Source organism: Homo sapiens, chromosome 15 (assembly GCF_000001405.40).
Source record: "Homo sapiens chromosome 15, GRCh38.p14 Primary Assembly".
NCBI classification, from domain to species: Eukaryota; Metazoa; Chordata; class Mammalia; order Primates; family Hominidae; genus Homo; species Homo sapiens.
The window spans coordinates 97,380,263-97,396,507 of NC_000015.10; the positions used below are offsets into that span (position 1 = coordinate 97,380,263).

Sequence of the window (16,245 nt, forward strand, 5' to 3'; positions counted from 1 at the left end):
TCATTCCTGAAGGATTAGCTAGGGTGAGATTAGAGACAAGGGAATTAAATTTAAAAGAGAGGAAAAAATTACTTAAAGGTCCAGACTTAGGATAAGACAGAGATGTGTAGGAAAAGAGGGAAAATCAAAACAAAACAAAATACCTTTTGCATTTAAGGGCTGCAGATAGTCTAGCTGAGCAAGAAGAGACAATTACTATTAAGCTTTCTCAGGTATGATGATAGATTGCCAAAAAACTTTTATGGAATAATTCCCTGAGAAGATGAACACCAAAAGATACTTTAAAAAGCCTGTTAACTGGGCAAAATCTGGAAGCATTCCCCTTAAAAACCAGCTCCAAACAAGGATACCCTCTTTCACCACTCCTATTCAACATAGCATTAGAAGTTCTGGCCCAGCCAATCAGGCAAGAGAAAGATATAAAGGGCATCCAAATAGGAGGCAAGAAAGTCAGACTATCTCTGTTTGCAGATGACATGATCCTGTATCTAGAAAACTCCATGGTCTCAGCCCAAAAGCTTCTTAAGCCGATAAACAACTTTAGCAAAGTCTCAGGACACAGAATCAATATGCAAAAATAGCTAGCATTCCGGTACACCAACAACAGGCAAGCCAAGGGCCAAATCAGGAACGAACTCCCATTCACAATTGGCACAAAAAGAATAAAATACCTAAGAATACAGCTAACTAGGGAGGTGAAAGATTTCCATAAGGAGAACTGCAAACCCTTGCTGAAAGAAATCGGGGAAGACACAAACAAATGGAAAAACATTCCATGCTCATGGATAGGAAGAATTGAATTTATCCATTCATCTATTTGAAGGACATATTGGTTGCTTCCAGTTTCTGGCAATTATAAATGATGCCACTATAAAAGAACTGCTTTTTACCTAGTTGATCTGTGATCCACATTATCAAGTTTTTGTCAAAGCATCCTGAATGTGTGTATATGGATACATAAAAAACCATCAACATATGCTATCTACTAAGTACATAATTTCAGAATCCATACTATGATGCAGTATTCAAGATGTCTCAGCCTCAGATATGAGAAACTGAACTGACATATGCAGAAAATTAGATGGTCAAATAAAAACATTTAACTAATTATTATGTTTTCAGAAAATATATGGAAGTTGAAGGAACATGGAGGATTATCTTTAGATAATGAAGAAAACTTATGTTAAAAATAGTAAAACATGAGCATTCATATTTAGAATATGAACCAGGGGAAATAGTCATCACTTTTCAAAGGCATAGTTAATTATTAATGGAGATGTAATATGATGAATTTGGAAAAAGATGAAAAAAATGAGGTAGAAGAAAAAGGTGTTATGTATATACACAAAATAATTCCTGTTTATAATATCAGAATTGTTCTAACAGTCATACTTATCTGTGTGTGGCATCTTTAATGTATTAGCCTTAGACACTTCACTTTAGGTAAGGAGGCAAGGATTCATCATATTAATTAAAGCTAAACAGGTGCATGGTGGGTGGTGAGTTGCATGATTTGTCCAAGAAAAAAAAATCCTTTCAGATGATGCAGATATTGGGGCGCTCAAAAACCAAAACTGAACCAACAAAACAAAACCAATCACACAAACACCTACAGAAAATAAAAAGGGGGGAGAATGGGAACACAATATTTTTGTAAAATGGTTATAGGTTACACAAAAAATATCTGGAAAGGTTTTTCTTTTAGTGATCTACTTTATATGATAGAAATAACTGGTTTCTAATGCTTTTAAAAATAATAAAAGAATGTATGGATACAAGACCCAAAATATAGTCAAAAGGATAAAAGTATTAAGCTAAGTCTAACTATACTCAGAGCAGTTCCCTCACATACAAGTAAAATCAAAGTGATCATTTGAAGATAGCAGTCAAATCAAGTTCACATACAGTTAAGAGTACAATCTTATTTGCACCTTCTTCCCCTCTACTGGAAAAAACTATGTTTGTCTGCTTGGCCTCTCACCATATTCCATGTGCCTAGGTGAGAGCCTGGCATGAAATAGATTCTCAGTCAATTACTAACTGCTGGTTGTTTCTTCACTAGTACAATAAAGCATATGTTCAGGCTGTATTATAAGTCAAATCTCAGAATCATAGAAGAAAAGAGGTGTCTACCAATCCTAGTCACCACCCAGCAGCCTGTCCTTTTTGTTGCCTTCAAATTAGGAGTAACATATAACTTTACAAAGAGTGTTAGTTTGCAAAGTCATTGGTAAATATTCAGTCTGCCCAAGCTATCTAAAATGTGAATAAGTGATGCGCAGTCTGTCTAAGCTGGTTAAAAAGATTATCCAAAATTGTAGACTGATAACGGATATTGTCTTTGTTGCTCACTTGCTTTCCAAATGCAGATCTTGGCTAAAGCTCATGTGTACATATGATAATCATATGCCCAGGCAGAAATGACATCCAATTTCCAGTATAAGCACTCACACAGGAGCATCTGTCATTAGAGGAGATGGCGTCAGGGGAGGGAGGAAACACAATGTAGCTGCCCCAGAGTGGATAGGGACCTTCGACCCAGTGTCCTATGGCAGTGTTATCATACTCTCCCCATCTCTCTCTCTCTCTCTTACACTCACTGTCTCTGGAGATCAAGACCAATTCTTAGAGTGATATTGGCTTTGGGAAAAAAAAAAATCAATGACCTATTCTCCTGGTCAGAGCATGGAGTGTTGAGATGGCAGTCAGCACAGCAGGAGGTGGAGAGGAAAATGAAATAAAAGGGTGCAATATCAAGGGATGGGGGACATAATTATGCTTGCAGAAAAGTATGTTCAATAAGCAGATTGCTGGGGAGTGGCAGACACTAGCTTTTCATAAATATGAAATTGGAATTGGGTTGAAAAAATTAGGGCACTAGAGCTTTTTCCCTGAGTCAGGAAGGCATGATAATAGAGGTTATTTCCATCTGCATTGCTACCTGCCATTTGTCAATCACCTAATTATATTTGGTAGAAGGGGCTACAGCAAATGTTCTCCGCTATGCAGAAATCCTGGGTGAGATTTCTGTGGGACTTGCTTTGCTTTATCTTTGTTTTTGAAGTCAAACTGTTTTTTAGGGAACTGAGGGAGAAAGGAAGGAAGGGAGAGAGGGATGGAGGGCAGGAGGGGAGGTAGAGAGGAGTGAGGAAGGAAGAAGGAAAGGAAGGAAGGAAAGAAGAAAGGAAGGAAGAAGGGAGAAAGGAATGGAGGGAGGGAAAATGAATGAAGGAAGGGAAGAAAAGAGGGAGGAAGAAAAGAAAGGAGAGATGAAAAGGAAGGGGGAAAAGATAAGAGGAAACAAGGAAAGGAGAGAAGGACAAGAAGGAGAAAAAGAGTGAGACCAGAACAGGCTGTTCATGTCTATGAGGAAAAGTGCATCTGGCTGAGCTCAGGCTTTGGGAACTCGCCACTCCCCTTTAGCTATTACAGAAAGAGACCTGCCAAGATGAGAAATTACCACAGGAGGGGTTGGATATTAGGATTAATTGTCTTGAACCAGAGCAGTGGAGCAGGTATGCGAGTCATATGGAGGTGGACACAATGACGCCAATGAACAGTCCTTACTGCTTTTCCTCCCTAAAGAAAAGTAGAAATTTAAGTAATAATACCAACATTTTCACCATAATATTACAAATTTCAGAAACTTTAAGAAAGACAAGATAACGGCTTTTCAGTGTTTTAATGATTTGTATTAAAGGCAGGTGCATTACTGAGCAGTTTGAAATGTCTGAGGTTTTACTATAGCCTGCCTTTCTTTCTTTTTCCCCTCCTTACCCCCAGTGATACTGATTTTATTTGTTTTGGTATTGACATTGACCACTGACCCAATCCTTTACAAATGTAGTTTCCTTAAATGATTCTAACCAACAGTTTCAGGAAGTTACTTATGGACCTTCAGAGTCACTGATGTTAAGCTTGAGACATGAGCCTCGATGTGTTCTTCTCTAAATTGTCACTTATTTTGAAATCATTAGTTTCCAAATTATATACTTCTTCCCTGTAACTGAACTGATAAAAAAAAAAAAGAGTTCAGATAATGTGTATATTTTGTTAATGTCTCTACTTTCATAAAGAATTATTACAAAATTCTATGTAACCATCATATTAATGAGCATCTGCTCCCAGGAATCCCTTTGTTGTTTTTCCTGATTGTGCTTGTCCAGAGTCAAGTGTAACACTAAGATCATAAAGCACTGTGCTGTTTTCCATCTATTTTATTCACATTATTTGTGAATCACCTGAACACATCAAATTCAGATGAGCTGTAGATTTTCTTCTCCATATGAATTATCAGCAACGTTTTCCAATTTAACACATACAGATAATTTCTTCCTGGAAGTCCAATGGAAATGAAATATTCGTTGATTTAATGCCTTATATGCCTATGCTAGTTTCCTATTGCTGCTGAAATTACCACAAGCTTAGTGGCTTAACACAACAGAAGTTTTCAGTTTTATCTCCTTGTAGTTCTGAGAATCAGAAATCTGAAATGAGTTGGCAGGGCTGTGACCCTTTGGAGGCTCGAGGGAAGAATCTGATCCTTGCTTTTCCAGCTTTTGAGGAATAAGCCTGCCCTTACTCCCTGGCTCATGACCCATCACTGCAACCTCTGGTTCTATTCCTCCATCTCCTTCTCTCTCTGACCCTTCTGTTTCTCTGCATGTGAACCCTGTGTTGACATTGGGCCAACCCAGATGACCCAGGTTAATCTTCTTATCCAAATATATTTAATTTAATTATATCTGCAAAATTTATTTTGCCAGAACACATTCACGGGTTCTGGGGATTAGGGTGTAGGCATCCTTGAGGGGCCACTATCCTGCCTAGCATAGCACCAAACATTCAAATAAATAAATGAGTCTCTTTCTAATTCTAGTGCCTTTTGTTAAAGGAGAGATTCTGCTTTCCTTTCAAGTGTACATTATAACATAGTTTAGTTTGATTAAGTTTGTTAATCAAACTTCGGAAGATGTAATTTTCTGTACATCAGAAGTCATTCATTCAGGGTCTCTGATGCACCCTGAGAATCTGAAGGTGACTGATGAACAGAGATATAAAGGTTCTCAAGGAGGGCGCTAAGCCTGGTTTGCTCCCCAAGTGTATTTGTGCATTCTCACGGCTTTGATGTATTTTTGTTTTTGTATTGTTTTGTTGTATTTTCTGGCTTATTTGGGCTTATCTTATTAACATTTAAATATATGCAAAGAAAAATTCAGCTTCATCTTATTCTAGGGGCTCTGACTCTTTAAGAAACTGACTGCCTATATATATTTGCAGTGTTTAGTATGGTCCCTGTTATATGGTAGATTTCCAACCAATATTTCATTAAGATATTAATGATTAAATCATTTGTGTCCTGGCTCAGTTCCCTATGGTTATCCCCAAATTCCATTTTCACTATTGAGTGAAGAGAAAACTAGCAAGGTCTTAGTGTTATTGATATCCTTTGGTGGATCCCTGATGGGGCAGAGTCCTGCAGTGGAAGTGCCAACGATTTGTCAGAGGTAGGATTTGCGAGTGGACACTCACAAAGACAAATAGCCACTGCCAGTTGGTGGGCCCGTTCAAAAGAGGAACTGAGCCATTACGTACAGCTGGAGCCCAAGAGGAAGGAGCTACCAAATCAGGATGGCAACCAAATGTATTGGGCTCTAGCTTCAGCACAGAACTACATGGTGAAGAAGAAAGCAGTGTTGGAGCTCAATGGAGTTGATGGAAACAATACTGGGAAGGGAAGATGGTCTCTCAGTAAGCAGCAGGTAGCAACAAAGATCTTACATCCTCCTTGGATGAGGGCTTACAAGGCAAAGTGGGCACTGGAGGTCAAGGCAAGATTAAGATTGCATGCTGAGTCATCTTATAAAACTCAGATCAACCAGAGAAGGCAGCCATAGAGATGACTGTTTTGGGAAGTATTTGTACATTGCAACTATGACCCTCAAAGAAATGATGTCTTTACCTTATTGGAAAAGGTAACTTAGAATAGATCCCCTTCATAAAATAACCTGGAAACAATTGATGCTGGATATTCATATCATCATCAACCAACAGACAGTCAGAATGCAATGGCTGCAAGCATGCATATGCAATGCTTTCAAAGCCTTTGTTTTACTAGAGGGGGAGAAAAGCTGGAAAAAGTATGCATTTGTGTCCTCAAAGTCTGTGTCCTGGATCTTAACAAAAATCGCTGTTTCTTTAAACAGGCAATGTGGGCTTGGGTTGTACCCGACAGAGAGCAGAGGCCCTGTCTAATTTAGAGGAGTGCAGGCGTCCTTGTCAAAGCCAGGAGAAGCTCCAATCGGATTCTCAGTCGGAGCCTGACCCCATCAATCAGAGTAGCTTGTGGTTACAATTTTCTGGGAAATGTGGAAAATCATCATCTACAGTAAATCTGCTGCCTGAAATGCCTCGTGTCATCTATATTTTATTTAAAATTTTGGTGTAGATCTTCTATTGTTTTTGTGTATCCAAACTTTGGTAGAACAATATCTCACTAAAGACTAGCCAACATGACTACAGCTGAAAATGCCTGCAAAAATCCCATAACTTTCTTTAAGTTTTAATTTTTATTTATTTTAAGGAAAAATGCTTCTGGTAAATCAATATCTTTTAACATCGAAAAGACCTCACATTGACAAGACATTGTTGAGACAATGGCAAACATGGAGGTATGGTCCTGGCCTCGGGGCTGTCTTGGTATTGTTAAAGAAACAGTCATGATCCTAAAACCGCAGCTAGGGTTTGACAAGAAGAGAAATTGTTAGGACCAAGGGAGGAGAGGAGGTTTTCTAGGTATATGGCGTGCGTGGACAGAGGCATGGAGGCTAGAGAAGTCATGGCTTCCATTTGCATGAATAAGCAGCCTGGGTGTGGTTACAGCTAGGAATGCCAGTTAGCAGAAAGCAGCCTGTGAGACTGGGAACATATATTAGGACCAGATGGCAGAGGGCCTAGATTGACTTGGTGGCAGAGGAGAGGGTTTAAGTGAAAAATGGAAAGAGGATGATTAAAGAAGGAGGAGGTGACCGTGTCTGGTGGTTTCTACCTCACTGGACTTGGTGAATACTACTTTTTGAAATTGACCACTAAATTGTCATTGTAAGTTATGTAATTCACATGGAATTGAAATAAACTCTTAGGATCAGACATCTTCTTAATACCAAATAGTACAATTCACTTTACTATTACTCAGCCCGCCTGTAGAGACTACTGACCAAATAGTTAGCCAGCCTCTGTCTGGACAGATGTACATCTTGTGTCAGCTATTGGATTATGACCAAGTTCTCCTTTCTATTGCTACAACTTTGCTTACTTGAAGTTTCTACACTCCAGTCTCAGTCCTGCTCCCTGGGATCATGTGAATAGTTCTACATTTTCTCACACATTATATATCTGCAATTATTTTACAAAACTTCCTACCCATTCCACACAGTCTCTCCTCCATGCCATCGCTCACAGAACAAAATCTTGATTCTCTATACTGTTCTGGTGCATTTGCTCATTCATAAAAACCCCTTTTCCTTAAAGGTGGACTCCAGAAATAAAGAAAAAATCTCCAGGTGTGACCTGAGGGAAGAGAGCAGAATGTAACTAATTCTTCACCCTCTAGAGGATTGTATTTCCAGAAAAACTCAATAGCTATAAATTACTGAGCTGATACCCCAGAACAGGCCCATAACTGGTCATTTACACTTATGAATATCTCTGTTTTACAGATGAGGAAGCTGAATGCCAGAGAGGCCATATAACTGGCTTGAGGTCATCCACATAGCTGTGATAGAGTCACAATTTAAGTGTAGGCCAGCCTCACTTCAAGGTCTACTTCTTTCTCTTATCCCATGATGCCTTTTATTTACTGGCCAAGCTGTATCAGCACGTCCCTGTGAAATGAGTGTGAACACATCAAAGAGTGCACTTTTTAACAACAAATACAAAGGAAGAATCAGAGTATATCAACCTGGTTTGTCTTCTAACTACAGCTTGCGTTTATAAATAGTCCAAGGATATAGATAGTCCCGACAAATACAAGTTAGGCTAATGGTTTTCAGGACATGGGAATGTCAGGAAAAGCAATGGGCTTAAGCAGATTAAGTTGGAAGTTTGCAAAAGAAAATGGGGCTATAGGAGACGTGCTTTTGCCAATTACTGAACTAAAGTGTTTCTATCTAGATAATATAGGCAATTGTTTTCCCATGGTATTTTCCTTGTGTGACCATGGTCCCAGGTAGCAACTGGTGTCCTTTGACAAGGCCAACATGATTCACAATAAGTCCAGGTATCCTTAACATCCTGCCAGCCACTTCACATTTTGCTCTTATAAATTTGACCTCATAGGCTATTGTCAGCATATAAGGAGAAGATGGCACTTTTATTATTTAGTAGTGACATAGGTAACCTATTTCTTAATATGCTAAGAGAATTTTAAAACTCGAAAATTGTTCGATTATTGGTATGACATAGCGGAGAAACTGCCAATATTTTAAGTTAAATTTTGTGACTATTTTATGAAACATGTTTGCTTCAGGCATATGGGAGAGCATCCTTTGACCTGTCACCTTTCCAAATCTTTAGGGTAATAAGTTGTGCTATGATGCACTGTACTCAAACAACAAGTATTTTTCATATCTACTTGGCATAGAAAGATCAACACAAACTAGTAAAAATCTTTTTTTCAACTTCTATATGTAATTTTAGAAAACTTATTTTCTCTCATCCTCAATATTGCACATAATTTTTATTGTAGTCTATATTTTGGTGAATATCCATGGGAAAAAATAATTATTTTCATTAACTTGTCTTGACCAAAAAACACTAACATAATTGATTGTAGCAGGAAAAATATTCAGCTACTAGATACCATACCTTTATAATATGTAGGAGATTCCAGTATTCCTGCCAACTACCCACTACCACTGATACAAAACTAAATTAAAAATAAATTTTCAAAAATTCAAAAAAGTTAGCATATAATTTTTACATTCATTCAGAGTATCACTTTGAAGAATGATGCCTAGGAAATATGGTAAGTCTTTAGACTAAGCCATTAAGGAAACCTGAGAGTGAGTTAGAATTTTGCTAAATTGGGTATGAATCTTTTACTTAACTTTCAACTGGTGTATGAAATAGAGATAAAGCCTATCTTAAAGTTCTAAGATAGGCTTTTTATTATCTTATATTATACATATAAATATTTAATCCTAATATATGCCAGCACATTTTAATTGAGAAATGGCTATTTCATGTGGTAGGATTTCCTTGCTACTTTTAACTGATAATGTGTTTATAATCAACAACATCTTTATATAGTTGCTCAAGTGAGGAACAGAAGTACTGACTCAACAAACTGCAGAATTCTATAGCACTGTAGGATAAATATAGTTTAAAAAATTAGTCGGGTGTGGCGATGGGCACCTGTAATCCCAGCTACTCAAAAGGCCGAGGCAGGAGAATCGCTTGAACCCAGGAGGCGGAGGTTGCAGTGAGCCAAGATCATCCCACTGCACTCCAGCCTGGGTGACAGAGTGAGACTCCGTCTCAAAAAAAAAAAAAAAAAAAAAAAAAGACATATTAGATAGTTTCAAATAGCTAGAAGGAGGATACTGAATATTCCCAACACAGGGAAATGATAAATGTTCAAAATGATGGACATGCTAATTATTCTGATCTGCTCACTATACATTAAATGTATAGAAACATCACTATATACTCCGTAAATATGTACAATATATATGTCAATTAAAGAAGAAAAGAAAAGAAGTACTAACTTTACTGTGAGCAAGGCAGATATGCAAATTAAGAGGCTCTTTGGAAATGTTTTCTTTTTATGCATTTAAACTACATGTGAACATTAATAATTACCCTTATAAGAGGCCTGTTTGTGTATGTTTCTAACAGTTACTGGCTGTGAGTTGAAGGAACAAGGAGGTGTGTGCTTAGCTTCTCCTGGTGAGAAGACCTTGAAGGAATGTGATTGAGTCCACCACCATGGGACATTATCAGACTTGGGGGAAAGGCATTGTTTGTGCCAGTGCAGTAAGTCCTCAGGAAAGACCCAATCTTAGGAAAACAATAGCAAAAGCATCTGCCTTGGAAGCAGGATGAGAGCAATTCATGCCTGTGATATTTGTAGAGGTCATCTCAAAGTAGGTTGTCCAAGGGCACATTCTGACTCTTGCTTTAAAAAGTCACATGAGTTCCAGTGGCCTCAGCATGGGCAGATTTGTTCCTGAAATGACTCCTGCCGCACAAGAAGGACAAGACCACTATTGAGCCTTCAGTAATATCATCATTCAAGTCCCTGGGGAGAAACATTGTTCAACCATGAATATTTCAGACAAAAAAATAAGAAAGGGTGAGTATGCAGTTTTGTTTAGTTCACCAGAGTGATCCAACTCTGACATATCTCTGAGTACTTGCTAGAAGAGAGCTGATGTTGGAAAACTGTGTGGGTACCAATGACCCCTGACACTAATCTTTTAAAGAAAGTTCACTTTTCAGAGAAAGAAAGATCTAGCATGCATCTTCCATCATTCCCCAAAAAGGCACCCTGCATCCCAGCCTTTCTGAACTACATCTGGTTTTACGAATTTCTCATATTTAACTTCCTGTAATTTCACACATAGTCTTCTCCATAATATATTTTCCCTGGATTTTGTTTGGCCAAGTTTTAATGGTTTTTCCAAGTTTTACTTAAATGTCATCTCCTCTATGATCATTTTCCAAACTCCTAAAAAAGAAACACCTTCATCTGTGCTCCTCCTAAAGAACCTCTGCCCTTTCTAATCTCACTATAATCTGTAATATAGTTATGTCTTTATATGTATATCCTCTCCTGATATCATTAGTGAACAAACCATAAGGTAATAATCTTTGCATCCCCAAAGCCCATATTTGTAGTTGCCATTGCCATTCACTAAATGTTTATGAATAAAATAAATACCCACATCCCTTAAAGGATGAAGGTCACCTTCATTGTGGAAGAGAAAGTAGGATGGTATGCATGGATGTAGCCTCTTTGGAAAACACAAACTGCCACTGCTTCAAGTTCTTAAGGTGAATAATGAGTAACTTCCTTTTCTTCCTTTTTTCAAATAATTTCTTTTCAAATCTTCATGAAATATTCTATATCAGGCACTGAGTTAGAGAGTAAGAATAAAAGGAGGATTTAGAAATATTATCGTAGAGTAACTACAATTTAGTAAGATTGACCTGTCCTGTGAAGAGATAATTATAAAATGCTACTGTAAGCACAGAGTGCTGGAGAACATACAGGATGGACATCTACTCAGCAATAGTGTGGAGGTGACAGATAATGAGAATATATTGCCATGGAAGATATGACATGTGCAATGTGCCTTAAGAAATGAATAAGCAGGCCGGGCGCAGTGGTTCACGCCTGTAATCCCAGCACTTTGGGAGGCCGAGGAGGGTGGATCACGAGGTCAGGAGATCGAAACCATCCTGGCTAACACAATGAAACCCCGTCTCTACTAAAAATACAAAAAATTAGCCGGGCGTGGTGGCGGGCGCCTGTAGTCCCAGCTACTGGGGAGGCTGAGGCAGGAGAATGGCGTGGACCTGGGAGGCAGAGATTGCAGTGAGCCGAGATCATGCCACTGCACTCCAGCCTGGGCAACAGAGCGAGACTCTGTCTCAAAAAAAAAAAAAAAAAAAAAAAAAAAAAGCAGCTGGGCCCAGTGGCTCATGCCTGTAATCCCAGCACTTTAGGAGGCCGAGGCGGGTGGATCACCTGAGGTCAGGAGTTTGAGACCAGCCTGGCCAATATGATGAAACCCCATCTCTAATAAAAATACAGAAAATTAGCCGGGCATGGTGGTGTGTGCCTGTAATCCCAGCTACTCAGGAGGCTGAGGCAGGAGAATGGCTTGAACCCGGGAGGCAGAGATTGCAGTGAGACGAGATCGTGCCACTGAACTCCAGCCTGGGCAACAAGAGCTAAACTCCATCTCAAAAAAAAAAAAAAAAAAAAAAAAAGAGAGAGAGAGATGAATAAGCATGAATTTGAGTAAACCACTGAAGAAAAACAACCAGGCAGATAGGAAAGCATAAGTGAAAACGTGAAGGTTAAAAAAAACGATGACCACAACAAATAAGCAAAAAGTATTGTGTGTGCAAAAGAAAATAAAAGTTGTTCATTGTGGTAAAATGTAAGTGGTGAGTCATAAAATGATCAAATATAATGCTGGCAAAGCCAATGGAAACTATTATACAAGATATTATATGCCATGTTGAAGACTTTGGCTTTATTCTCTCATTAAGTAACTTGTAAGTCTCATCATAGTCAAATTGTGTTTGCTCTATGAATGATTAAATTGAGATGGAGGATAATAAGCAGTTATTAATGCCCATGAGGGAACTTAGGGTTTAAAGCAGAGTAAAATAATTAGGAAATATAATTTCAACAGGAAATATTCAGAAAATGAATGTTTGAGGACATATTTTATTAGATAAAAGGATAGAGAAAGAAGAATCCAGCATGATCCTCAATGTTTTAGTTTGAATTGACAGATTTTGTTGGTGCCATAACTAAGTTAAGAAAAGAAGAAATGGCTGACCTTAAGCAGGTGACATGTTAAATTTGGGCATCCTGAATTTGACGGTCTCTGCTCTATATAAGTGTTTGAAACTCAGAAGCACAGAGATGTATAGGTCTGATGATTAGAGGAAGAGTTTAGACTATAGTGATAAGAGAAATCAGCATATAAGGGTAATTGAACACATAAGAGTGGATAAAATTAACTACAAAATGCATGGTCGTAAAGAACATTGGAAAAACTAAGAACTCTAGAGAATACTAACACTTCAGGCTAATACACAAGGATGGGATAGGGAATGATTTGTTAAAGTGATGCAAATGGTACATGAAGCAATTAACGAGATCCAGAAAGTCAAGAAAAATAAATAATCATTACATTTGACAATATAATATTATGTAAGCTCTGAAAAAATTATTAGTCTCTTCTTAAATATATTGTTTCTTACTGTGTCCTGCACCTAGAATAAAACCAGGTATATAACAAGCTCTGAATATTTGCTATGAAGTCACTGATGGCCTTAGAAATTTAAATTTCAATACATCAATGAAATCAAATGCCAGATGGATTTGAGAGAAGATATATGTAAATCAGTACAGGATCTAGAAGTATAGACTCTACTTCTAAGAATTTTATATGATAATTGGGAGAGAGAGAGATTGAGGAGGCATGAAATGAAGGAAACATTTTTATTCTAGAGAGAAAGAGAGCCTTGGGTTTGTTTATGACTGAGATAAATTATAGGTTCTGGAGCAAGAAAGCATGAGTACAGGAGCACAATTCCAGAAGAAAAGGCAGAATATGAAATCAAGATCTCAAGTGAATTTTTAACAAAGAAAGAAGAACATATTGTCATTTAAGAAGACAAAAGTGAAGAACATAGAAAAGGGCATATTTTTGGTGCCCGAGGCAATAGAATATTGAGAATTCTTCTGAGGGCCTCTCTCTTTCCAATAAGAAGGCAGTAAGAACATTGGCTGAGAAAAAGGGGAACAAAGTCAGGGCCAATGCTTGAGAAGAGTGAAGAAGCTTCATGGGAGACTTTGAGTGAGTTGTCCATAAATTAGGAAAATTAGTGAGGCCAGTTGACTTAACAGGCCGTAGAGTCAAAGATTTGCTTTAATAACCTAGTGTATTTTGTGAAATCACTACATATTTGAGGTTTGGCTGGTTGCATTGGACATAAAGATATACAGAAATAGAGGGTTTTGACCAGTTCCATGAGCCAGACAAGGAAAGTATAGAGGCAAAACACACTGAGGCCAATAAAGAAATTCAGTAGAATTGAGGTTATGAGAAAGAAAGATACTCATCTTTTATCATGCAATTGGCAATTGAAATTAAATGTCCAAGGTAGGGCTGCTTTACGAGGTGACAAAGTTTTTTTTTTCAATTTTTTTATTATACTTTAAGTTTTAGGGTACATGTGCACAATGTGCAGGTTAGTTACATATGTATACATGTGCCATGCTGGTGTGCTGCACCCATTAACTCGTCATTTACCATTAGGTATATCTCCTAAAGCTATCCCTCCCCCCTCCCCCAACCCCACAACAGTCCCCAGAGTGTGATGTTCCCCTTCCTGTGTCCATGTGTTCTCATTGTTCAATTGCCACCTATGAGTGAGAACATGCGGTGTTTGGTTTTTTGTCTTTGCGATAGTTTGCTGAGAATGATGATTTCCAGTTTCATCCATGTCCCTACAAAGGACATGAACTCATCATTTTTTATGGCTGCATAGTATTCCATGGTGTATACGTGCCACATTTTCTTAATCCAGTCTATCATTGTTGGACATTTGGGTTGATTCCAAGTCTTTGCTATTGTGAATAGTGCCGCAATAAACATATGTGTGCATGTGTCTTTCTAGCAGCATGATTTATAGTCCTTTGGGTATATACCCAGTAATGGGATGGCTGGGTCAAATGGTATTTCTAGTTCTAGATCCCTGAGGAATTGCCACACTAACTTTCACAATGGTTGAACTAGTTTACAGTCCCACCAACAGTGTAAAGGTGTTCCTATTTCTCCACATCCTCTCCAGCACCTGTTGTTTCCTGACTTTTTAATGATTACCATTCTAACTGGTATGAGATGATATCTCATTGTGGTTTTGATTTGCATTTCTCTGATGGCCAGTGATGATGAGCATTTTTTCATGTGTTTTTTGGCTGCATAAATGTCCTCTTTTGGGAAGTGTCTGTTCACGTCCTTCGCCCACTTTTTGATGGGGTTGTTTGTTTTTTTCTTGTAAATTTGTTTGAGTTCATTGTAGATTCTGGATATTAGCCCTTTGTCAGATGAGTAGGTTGCGAAAATTTTCTCCCGTTTTGTAGGTTGCCTGTTGACTCTGATGGTAGTTTCTTTTGCTGTGCAGAAACTCTTTAGTTTAATTAGATCCCATTTGTCAATTTTGGCTTTTGTTGCCATTGCTTTCTGTGTTTTAGCCATGAAGTCCTTGCCCATGCCTATGTCCTGAATGGTAGTGCCTAGGTTTTCTTCTAGGGTTTTTATGGTTTTAGGTCTAACGTTTAAGTCTTTAATCCATCTTGAATTAATTTTTGTACAAGGCGTAAGGAAGGGATCCAGTTTCAGCTTTCTACATACGGCTAGCCAGTTTTCCCAGCACCATTTATTAAATAGGGAATCCTTTCCCCATTGCTTGTTTTTGTCGGGTTTGTCAAAAGATCAGATAGTTTTAGATACGCAGCGCTATTTCTGAGGCCTCTGTTCTCTTCCATTGATCTATATCTCTGTTTTGGTACCAGACAAAGTTTAGAATATGGCCTATTTACGGGGGTAGAGGAAAATTGGAGGTGAAATAAAATGTTGGTAAAAGTATTTGGAGTTAGAAAACCCAATAAAACAAGCCATTAGGCAAATCACAAATATACCTACATAAACGTATTTTGCTACTTTGGTGGATTATTGAGATACACCAACCAAGCAGGGAGGGTGACTAGAGGGCTAAATTTGAGAGAAGAACAAAGTAACCAGTTTTCTCCAGCAGGCCAGAAGTGAGTCCCCCGCTCTTTGTGTACACACATGTTGATCAAAATATTTAGTGACTGTGTCTGAGTATCATAAGCCATCATACAGAGAGTGTTTGCCTGCAAGTAAAGTTGTCCCTTCAAAGGAGATCTTACAATCTCATCAGTTACCCTCTTGTACAGTTGCAGATGGGGCCATGTACACATGTGGATTTAAGAAAATGTTGCCTCTTGTATTTGAAGATATTATCTAACCTCTAGAGTCCTTAATACTTCTGCAGGATGACGGGAGTATTACTGGTTTCCCTCAGGTTCATCTTTCCGAGGCAGTTTATATGGAGCAACCTCTTAGCATTAGGAATCATTCCAGGTTTCTTCTTCAGGCACTGGGGTCTATGAAGCATTCAAAATTAGTCTGTGATGGGAGCTATTTTAGCCTCATAAGATATGCCCTCAGATTACACTTAACATTTTTTTCTCTTTAAAGAAACACTGGCCATAAAAATGTTTAATTGGCCAGAAGTATCTCTGGAGGCATGCTGTTTCATTAACTCAAGGAGACATCAGAGACATTTTAAGAGATAAATCTGACCCGCTGAACACTAACATTTTGTAAGATTAGAAGCCTAGACTATAAAAGCAGTTTGCCAAGACGTACATTTATGGATTTTACTTGATGGACTTCTGTGTTCCACTTC

The 16,245-nt window shown here is 38.2% G+C and overlaps 2 long non-coding RNA genes across 5 annotated transcripts in view, besides 1 other annotated feature; one reads left to right on the top strand and one right to left on the bottom strand.

Moving 5' to 3' along the window:
* LINC02253 (long intergenic non-protein coding RNA 2253) overlaps positions 1-16,245 on the top strand; it is a 197,799-nt gene that overhangs the window by 145,971 nt on the left and 35,583 nt on the right. The window lies entirely within an intron of this gene.
* Positions 1-16,245, bottom strand: part of LINC02254 (long intergenic non-protein coding RNA 2254) — a 151,441-nt gene that overhangs the window by 9,892 nt on the left and 125,304 nt on the right. The gene's annotated exons all lie outside the window — the stretch shown is intronic.
* Positions 6,339-7,538: an enhancer, noted in NCBI's record as "P300/CBP strongly-dependent group 1 enhancer chr15:97929831-97931030 (GRCh37/hg19 assembly coordinates)". NCBI's record gives its function as "activates an origin of replication core promoter dependent on BRD2, BRD4, P300/CBP, MED14 and CDK7 cofactors, with strong dependence on P300/CBP, by STARR-seq in HCT116 cells {active_cell/tissue: HCT116}" and the evidence as "EXISTENCE:reporter gene assay evidence [ECO:0000049][PMID:35650434]".